Source organism: Homo sapiens, chromosome X (assembly GCF_000001405.40).
Source record: "Homo sapiens chromosome X, GRCh38.p14 Primary Assembly".
Taxonomy (NCBI): Eukaryota; Metazoa; Chordata; class Mammalia; order Primates; family Hominidae; genus Homo; species Homo sapiens.
In genome coordinates, this window is record NC_000023.11 from 41,290,277 (window position 1) to 41,300,409 (window position 10,133).

Here is a 10,133-nt window from a genome sequence, read left to right on the forward strand (position 1 = left end):
AAAAAAGAAAAAAAATTAAAAATAGAAAAACTTTATAATTTACCATTTTAACCATTTTTACTTGTCCAGTTCAGTGGCATTCAGTACATTCACATTGTTGTGCAACCATCATGACCATCCATCTCTAGAACCTTTTCATCTTCCCAAACTGAAATTTTGTATCCCTTAAACACTAATTCCCTATTTTCCCCTCCCCACTAGCTGCTGACAACCACCATTCCATTTTCTGTCTCTATGAACCTAACTATTCTAGAGACCTCAGATAAGTGGACTCACAATATGTGTCCTTTTGTGTCTGGCTTCTTTCACTTAGTAGAATATCTATGTTTCACCTATGTTGTAGCATGTGTCAGAATTTCCTTCCTACAAAATTTATTTTCTACAAAAAATAAACAAAAATTAAAAATACAAAAATTAGCTGGGTGTGATGGTGCATGCCTGTGGTCCCAGCTACTTGGGAGGCTGAGGTGGCAGGATTACTTGAGACCGGGAGGTCAAGGCTGCAGTGAGCTGTGATTGTGCCACTGTACTCCAGCCTGGGTGACAGTGAGACCCTGTCTCAAAAAAAAAAAAAAAAAAGTCCTTACTTTTTAAGCCTGAATAATATTCCATTGTATAGATGTATCGCACTTGTTTACCCATGGACATCATTTGGGTTGTCTCCACAAGCATGTATTCCTTTTTTTTTTTTTTTTTTTTTTGAGACAGTGTCTCACTCTGTCACTCAGGCTGGAGTGCAGTGATGCAATCTCGGCTCACTGCAATCTCTGCCTCTCGGCTTCAAGCAACTCTCCTGCCTCAGACTCCCTAGTAGCTGGGATTACAGGCATCTGCCACCATGCCTGGCTAATTTTTGTATTTTTAGTGGAGATGAGGTTTTGCCACGTTGGCCAGGCTGGTCTCAAACTCCTGGGCAATCCACCCGCCTCACCCTCCCAAAGTGCTGGGATTACAGATGTGAGCCACTGCGCCTGGCAAGAATGTATTCTTATATGAAAGAATATCAGTGAATCTTGTTGATTCTCACTCCCAAAAATTCATTGGATGGTTTTAGTTCCTGATTGACACAGAAGAGCCCAGCAGGCAGGCCCTCTCTCCTTCCATGTCTATAATCAGATGGCCTCTTAAGCCAGGCCCCCCTCTCACATTCTGGATCCTGTGGTGCTTTTTGCCCCTGCACCTTTGTCCCACTAATTTTGCCTTTCTTCTGGCAGTTTCTGTTGCCTAAAACTCTCTTTGTGCTCCTTCCTGCCTGGCCATTCCCTTCCTGGCCCCTGGGACTAGGCCAACTCTCCCCTCACCCAATCACTCCCTGCTGTTTGTATCTAAAGCAGTATTTTGCAGATTAGCATGAGATTTACCTCATAGTGTTATTTTGACTTCCCAACTAACTGTAGACACCCCTTTTAAGGTGCCCTTGTCTCTGGCATTCTCCCTGGCTCTAGGTCTGATACTGGACACAGTCATTTATGGAGGGCTTGACTCCATAGGATCCTGAAAGCCTGGCCAAGCAATTTAGACTCTGTGCTAGTGGGACATTCTTAAGCAAGGCAGTGACAAAACCAAGCAGTATTTTATGCAGATTTGTGTTGGGGCAGGAGAGTAAACTAAACTAAATGCCCTTTGCAAGCCCTACGAACTGTGGCTTTCTCTCCATATCTGGTTAATGCTCCCTGTCTTATTAATAAATGGACAGTATACATTTACTGCACATTTGCAGCTGGCGTTCAGAATAATGATTACAAAGTCATTGTGCAGGCCTTGTGGCACGAGACTGGACAACAGTCAGCATGGTGGAGAGGAAAATGTACTGAAGAGATCTGAAAAATCACATGCAATCGCTATGAACAGCTTTATGCCAATTAATTTGGAAAACTTGATGAAAGAGACAATCTTCTAGATGTACAATAACTAAATCAATTAAGAAATGGGATATCAGAATAACCAATAACGCTTTTTAAAAATACGAAACAGAAAGCCAAAAATCTCTCCCAAGGCCCCCACCCTACCTCCACAAAAGAAAGAAAAAAGAAAGGAAGCAAGGGAGAGAGGGAAAGAGGGAGGAAAGAAGAGAACCAGGTTCAGACAATTTCATGGATGCGTTTTACCTAATCTTCAAAAAATAGGAAATCCTACCTAATGTAAATGGTTACAGAAAATAGAAAAGAGGGCTGGGCACAGTGGCTTACGCCTGTAATCCCAGCACTTTGGGAGGCCAAGGTGGGTGGATCATGAGGTCAGGAGTTTGAGACCAGCCTGGCCAACATGGTGAAACCCCGTCTCTACTAAAAATACAAAAATTAGCCAGGCGTGGTGGCACACACCTGTAATCCCAACTATCTGGGAGGCTGAGGCAAAGAGAATCGCTTGAACCTGGGAGGCAGAGGTTGCAGTGAGCAGTGATTGCACTCCAGCCTGGGCAAGAGAGCGAATCTCCATCAAAAAAAAAAAAAAAAAAAAAATAGAAAAGAGAGGAAGCTGCCCAATTCATTTTATGGAACTATTAGAATCCTGATATTTGGTCTACGGCCATACCACCCTGAATGCACCCAAACCCATCTGATCTCGGAAGCTAAGCAGGGTCGGGCCTGGTTAGTACTTGGATGGGAGAATCCTGATATTAAAACAAGAAAGTAGAGTATCAAGATAAGAAAGAAATAGGCTGAACTCACTTATGAACAGAAATTCAAAAATCCTAAATAAAATAATAGCAAATTGAATTCAGCAGTGTGTTAAGACACTAAAACATGGCCAAGCAGGATTATTGCAAGAATGCAAAGATGGCTCAACATCAGCAAATCTACCATGACATTCACTGTGTTGATAGAAGAAAACAGAAATAACACTGGTATGGGCATTAAAAGACAGACTTAAGTTCCATCTCTGCTCTGCCATTAACTAGCTGTGTAACATTTTACCTCTTTCCTATCCCCACATGGGTTCCCCAGCTCTTCCCTGAGGAGGGGAGCACAGCATTGAGAATCAGTCTGCTCCTCTCCCTGCCTCATTTTCTTCATCTGTAAAATGAAGAAACATTCGAATTCCATGATTTTGCAGGCTTTGTGAAGGAAGCATGATGAAGTCCAACAAACAGTGAGGGAAATTTGCTGTGTAGCTGGGTCCTGGCTAAGTCATTGCATCCATAGTGCTGGTGGCTGCCTCAGAGGAGATCAAGCTGGCAGTGCCACCCTGTGGCCTATTGGGAAGTGCATAAAAAGCACAGACACCATCAGGGCAGACTGCAGACCAGAAGAAACACTCTGTAACTAAATACAGTGGTGGATGAGGGAAGTCACCATCACCACGTGAAGTAGTTTTAAACATAAAACAAAATCTTTGGGAGCCGAGGCGGGCGGATCATGAGGTCAGGAGATCGAGACCATCCTGGCTAACTCTACTAAAAATACAAAAAAATTAGTTGGGCGTGGCGGCAGGTGCCTGTGGTCCCGGCTACTGGGGAGGCTGAGGCAGCAGAATGGCATGAACCCAGGAGGCGGAGCATGCAGTGAGCCGAGATCGCGCCACTGCACTCCAGCCTAGGCGACAGAGTGAGACTCCATCTCAAAAAAAAAAAAATCAACTCTGCTCAAGCCTCTAGATCTGCATTGTCCAATTCAATAGTCACTAGCCACATGTGGCTATTTGAATTTAAATGAATTAAAATTAAATAGGCTGGGCACGGTGGCTCAGGCCTGTAATCCAGCACTTTGGGAGGCTGAGGTGGGTGGATCACTTGAGGTCAGGAGTTCAAGACCAGCCTGGCCAACATGGTGAAATCCTGTCTCTACTAAAAATACAAAAAAAAAAAAAAAAAAAAAGGCCAGGCAAGGTAGCTCACACCTGTAATCCCAGCACTTTGGGAGGCTGAGGCAGGTGGATCACCTGAGGTCGGGAGTTTGAGACTAACCTGACCAACATGGAGAAACTCAGCCTCTACTAAAAAATATATAAAATTAACCGGGCGTGGTGGTGCATGCCTGTAATCCCAGCTACTTGGGAGGCTGAGGCAGGATAATTGCTTGAACCCGGGAGGCAGAGGTTGCGGTGAGCCGAGATCATGCCATTGCACTCCAGCCTGGGCAACAAGAGTGAAACTCCGCCTCAAAAAAAAAAAAATTAGTCGGGCATGGTGGCGAATGCCTGTAGTCCCAGCTACCAGGGAGGATGAGGCTCGAGAATCACTTGAACCTGGGAGGCAGAGGTTGCAGTGAGCTGAGATCACGCCACTGCATTCCAGCCTGGGCGACTGAGACTCTGTCTCAATAAGTAAATACATAATTAATTAAATTATTAAATTAAATTAAATATGCAGCTCCTCAGTCTCACTGGCCCCATCTCAAGTGCTCATAGCCACACAGGATGAGTGGCTACCATATTGAAGGATGCAGATATAGAACATCTCTATAATTGCAGAAAGCTCTATTGGATAGCCCTGCTTTCACTCTAACTTCCAATTTACAAGAGAATATCAAGGACAGAGGAACATGTGAATCTGCACCATGAGTGTGCACTAAGCAATATTCAGGCAATGAGAAACTCTTATGGACAAACTATTCAGTTTCTTTAAAAACAACAAATTGCAAGAAAAAAAATGAGATGGAGGGTAAACCTACAGACTAACAGACTTAAGAAACATATTAGCCAAATGCAATGTATGGACTTATTTGGATCTCGATTCAAACAAACTATTAAAAATGTATAAGATGGCCAGGGGCAGTGGCTCACTCCTGTAATCCCAGCACTTTGGGAGGCCGAGGCAGGCGGATCACCTGAGGTTGGGAGTTCGAGACCAGCCTGGCCAACATAGTGAAACCCCATCTCCACCAAAAATACAAAAATTAGCTAGGTGTGTGTTCTGTGTGGGAAACGTGAGAGGGGAGAAGAAAAGACACACACACAATACCTTCAAGGGTAAACAATCTTTATCCCACGTAAATGGCAATGCAGATATAATAGGCAAATGATATAACAAGCAAATTGAAATGGGAAGGGGATAAGGGAAAAGATATAGATAGATAGATAGATAGATAGATAGATAGATAGATAGATAGATAGATATACACACATATATATATATATTTACACTCACCAGACTATGGAGGATTCACCACCAGACCAGGAAGCAACAGCCTGGGCTCCAGAGTCAGACACTACACTCACCAGACTATGGAGGACTCACCACCAGACTGGAAAGCAACAGCCTGGGCTCCAGAGTTGGCCACTCATCAGTGCACAGATGAGGAGAGGTCTCATGAAGCTTCGGTGCAGTCTGGGACCCTCTTTTTGTAACGAGTTGTTTAGCATGAGGCCCAGTCATGAGGGCCCTTTGGGACTGGGCTCAAGGACCACAAAAAGGTCAACTTGTTTTTGTGATTGTCTGTTGCTTTTCTTTTTCTTTTTTTTTTTTTTTTTTGAGACGGAGTCTCGCTGTGTCGCCAGGCTAGAGTGCAGTGGCGCTCACTGCAACCTCCGCCTCCCGGGTTCAAGTGATTCTTCTGCCTCAGCCTCGCGAGTAGCTAGGATTACAGGTGTGCGCCACCACACCCAGCTAATTTTTGTATTTTTAGTAGAGACGGGGTTTCACTATGTGGGCCAGGATGGTCTCCATCTCCTAACCTCGTGATCCGCCCGCCTCTCCTCCCAAAGTGTTGGGATTACAGGTGTGAGCCACTGCGCCTGTCTGTTGTTTTTCAATAACTAATGTACAGGAATAGATTGAAATAGAGATTTCTCTGAAACAGTGCTGGATGAATGCCTCAAGGGGCTCACACAAACTATTCTGGGACTTGGTGACCATTGTTTTTGCCCATGTTCAACTGAGTTCAAGTTTAATATTTAACTTTTCCATCCGGGCATGGTGGCTCACGCCTATAATCTCAGCACTTTGAAAGGCTGAGGTGCGTGGATCACCTGAAGTCAGGGGTTCAAGACCAGCCTGGGCAACATGGTGAAACCCTGTCTCTACTAAAAATACAAAATAAGCCAGGCGTGGTGGCGCGTTCCTGTAGTCCCAGCTATTTGGGAGGCTGAGGCAGGAGAATTGCTTGAACCCGGGAGGTGGAGGTTGTGGTGAGCTGAGATCACGCCATTGCACTCCAGCCTGGGCAACCAGAGTGAAAACTCGGTCTCAAAAAAAAAAAAAATTAATATTTAACTTTTCCTCCATAGTGTGGTGGCACATGCCTGTAATCCCAGCTACTTGGGAGGCTGAGGCAGGAGAATTGCTTGAACCCAGGGGGTAGAGGTTGCAGTGAGCCAAGATTGCACCACTGCACTCCAGCCTGGGTGACAGAGTGAGACTCTTGTCTCCAAAAAAAAAAAAAAAAAAAAAAAAAAGTATAAGACAATTGGGAAAATGTGAACACTGAGTAGATACTTGATGATATGAAATAATTATTGTTATGGTGAGTGTTAATGGTACTGTGGTTATGTTCTTTTATAAAAGTCCTTAGCTCTTAGAGCTATCTTTGGAAAAATCTACAAATGATATGATATCTGGGATTTGCTGCAAAGCATTCTGGACATGGAGGAGTGGGTGAAGGTATGGAGGCAATAAGATTGGCCATCGGTTTTTGTGTTTTTTTGTTTTCGTTTTGAGACAGGGTTTTGTTCTGGGCTGGAGTGCAGTGGTGTGATCACAGCTCACTGCAGCCTTGACCTCCTGGGTTCAAGTGATCCTCCTGCCTCAGCCTCCTGAGTAGCTGGGACCACAGGTGCATGCCACCATGCCCAGCTAACTTTTATTTTTGTAGAGATGGGGGTCTTGCTATGATGCCCACGCTGGTCTTGAACTCCTGGGCTCAAGCAATCCTCCCTCCTCAGCCTCCCAAGGTGCTGGGATTACAGGCGTGAGTGACTGCACTGGGCCAGCCATCAGTTTTTGAAATGGGGTGAAGAGTACAATGGGGTTTATTTTACTGTTTCTTTATTTGGATATATGTTGAAAATTTCCATAATAAAAAGTTTTAAAGGCTGGGCATGGTGGCTCACGCCTATAATCCCAGCATTTTGGGAGGCTGAGACGGGTGGTTTACTCGAGCTCAGGAGTTCAAGACCAGCCTGGGCAACATGGGGAAACCCCGTCTGTACAAAAAAATGCAAAAAAAAAAAAAAAAAAAGCAATTTAGCCAGGTGTGGCGGCACATACCTGTGGTCCCAGTTACTTGGGAGGCTGAGGTAGGAGGATCACTTGAGCCCAGGAGGTCAAGGCTGCAGTGATCTGTGATTGCATCACCACACTCCAGCGAGGGTGACAGAGTGAGACCCTGTCTTTAAAAAAAAAAAAAAGTTTGAAAATGTTCAAATAAAAATGTGTGCATAAGTATGTACAGCTGCTTTCCTGGTCGCACTACATTTACCATAGAACCGAATCCAAGATAGAGAAGAGAGATGTTCCAGGACGGCATGCCCATTGTAGGTGGACTTCCAGCCACTTGGCCAACTGCAAGGAAAAGGAGAGAAAGAAAAGGGAAGTTGGGGCCGGGTGCGGAGGCTCACACCTGTAATCCCAGCACTTTGGGAGGCCGAGGCAGGTGAATCACCCGAGGTCAGGAGTTCGAGACCAGCCTGGCCAACATGGCGCAACCCCGTCTCTACTAAAAATTCAAAAATTAGCCAGGCGTGGTGGCACTTGCCTCTAGTCCCAGCTATTCGGGAGGCTGAGGCAGGAGAACTGCTTGAACCCAGGAGGCAGGGGTTGCAGTGAGCTGAGATTGCGCCGCTGCGCTCCAGCCTGGGCGATGGAGCAAGACTCTGTCTACAAAAAAAAAGAAGAAGAAAGAAAAGGGAAGTTGGGATGATGATGAGAAGAGAGGGGAAAGGAGATTGTGGAAAGGGAATTCTACATGATGAGAGAAGCATACCAGAAGGGCCCAGAGAAGGGTGCCTGGGATAGTGAGATGCCTGGAAATGCATGAGGTTGGAAAGGACCTTACCGGGCTCCATTGCACAGCCCTGGGATGCCCTCTCCCTCCCAGTTTCTTCACCCAAAAGCCTCCATCTGCTTTTTGAACACGTGACTCAGACTGTATGCCCACTGGGACCATATGCCCACAGTGCATGCACACTGTATGCCCACAGAGACTCTGGGAGCACCGCCCAGATAACTGGGGGCCTCTTTCACCAGTTCTGCCTGCCAGTCCCCTAACTGCTCCAGTGGCTGTTGCTGATGGTTCACACCTGTGACCCTCTACAGAGGTTTGCCCTCAGATGATTGGAGCCACTCAGACCCGAGGTGCTCTGGAGCTAGGCATCTTCAGCCACTGATTGGTATAGAGGCATACAGTCTCCTTTCCCTGGCTTCGGCGCAGAACAGATTCTGAGATCCAGTGTCTGCTCCAGAGCTCCCCGTGGGATCAGGCCTGAGGCTAGACTCCTGGAACCACATCCTTGCTAACCTTCTTCTCTCCTCCTCCTCTCTCCTCCCTCCTTACAGCTTCCTGCTGAGAGCACCCCCACTCAATAACTGCCACTTGTGCAAGAACCCGTGTTCCAGGCTCCACTTTTAGGGAGGCTTACTTGAGACAGAAGGTGGGGTAGGCACACAGTTTGTTTTTCTCTGGGTTGTCACACTCAGAACACAGTGTAGAGATTATGCAGAGGCAGAGACCAAGTCTCATACATATTTCTTTCCTCCATCTGACCTGAAATGATTAAAGCCAAAAAGATCCTGGCTTGAAGTGCCCACTGGAAAGGATGTGCAAGTGCTGGAGCTACTGGGCTACAAAGGAAGCTGTCTGGCACCTTGGTCTAAGCTGTGTAGGAAAAAGAAAAAAAAAAAACAACAACAAACCAGAAAACCTAGTTCTGTGGATTGTCACACCCAAGCTAAGCCACTAGAATTCAGCTTGGGGACCTCTCTGGCTGATTGCGGCCTGCAAGTTTTCTTTTTCTTTTCTTTTTTTTTTTTTTGAAGCGGAGTCTCGCTCTGTCGCCCAGGCTTGAGTGAAGTAGTGCCACCTCGGCTCACTGCAACCTCTGCCTCCCCGGTTCCAGCGATTCTCCCTGCCTCAGCCTCCCGAGTAGCTGGGACTACAGGTGCGTGCCCGGCTAATTTTTTTTTTTTGTATTTTTAGTAGAGACAGGGTTCCATCATGTTAGCCAGGATGGTCTCGATCTCCTGACCTCGTGATCCACCTGTCTCAGCCTTCCAAAGTGCTGGGATTACAGGCGTGAGCCACCGCGCCTGGCCCCCCCTTTTTTTTTTTGAGACAGTCTCGCTTTTGTTGCCCAGGCTGGAGTGCAGTGGCATGATCTCAGCTCACTGCAACCTCTGCCTCCCGGGTTCAAGCGATTCTCCTGCCTCAGCCTCCCGAGTAGCTGGGATTACAGGCGCCCACCACCACACCTGGCTAATTTTTTTTGTATATTTAACAGAGATGGGCTTTCCCCATGTTGGCCAGGCCGGTCTTGAACCCCTGACCTCAGGTGATCCACCCGCCTCGGCCTCCCAAAGTGTTGGGATTACAGGTGTGAGCCACCGCGCCCAGCTGCCTGCAGGGCTCACACCTGTAATTCCAGCATTTTGGGAGGCCAAGGTGGGTGGATCACCTGAGGTCAGGGGTTCGAGACCAGCCTGGCCAAGATGGGGAAACCCCGTCTCTACTAAATATACAAAAATTAGCTGGGCGTGGTGGCACATGCCTGTAGTCCCAGCTACAAGGGAGGCTGAGGCAGCAGAATCGCTTGAACCTGGGAAGTGGAGGTTGCAGTGAGCCAAGATCGCATCACTGCACTCCAGCCTGGGCAACACAGCAAGACTCCGTCTCAAAAAAAAAAAAAGTAATCACCAGGCTATTTCAGAAGAGGGTGTTACATCCACCAGCAAACTGGGGGAGAATCATGTCTTGAATGATTCTGAGACCATGTCTAATGGGGATTTCATTAGGGTTCTGACTGTGAAGATGCTGCTTCAGAGATTGTGGGGGATATTGCCTGCAGTTCAGAGGGCAGAGTCTAAAACTGAGAGCCAGGAAGGTACTAACCATGTGTCAGGCAGATGGGGGCTGGCTAAAGAGTGAAGGGGTCAGGGACTGGGTAGCCAAGGGTCAGGGTCAGGTTTAGCAGGCCCCACAGGAAGTCTTGAGCTAGTTCTAAGAATGTTACTGGAATGTTGTCTATGCTTGACTCATACA

At 46.7% G+C, this 10,133-nt stretch overlaps 1 pseudogene, besides 1 other annotated feature; it reads left to right on the top strand.

Moving 5' to 3' along the window:
• Positions 944 to 1,508: an enhancer, noted in NCBI's record as "NANOG-H3K27ac hESC enhancer chrX:41150473-41151037 (GRCh37/hg19 assembly coordinates)". NCBI's record gives its function as "activates a minimal SCP1, AML or CMV promoter by ChIP-STARR-seq in primed H9 embryonic stem cells {active_cell/tissue: H9 hESC(primed)}" and the evidence as "EXISTENCE:reporter gene assay evidence [ECO:0000049][PMID:30033119]".
• On the top strand, positions 2,522 to 2,640 carry RNA5SP502 (RNA, 5S ribosomal pseudogene 502; annotated as a pseudogene).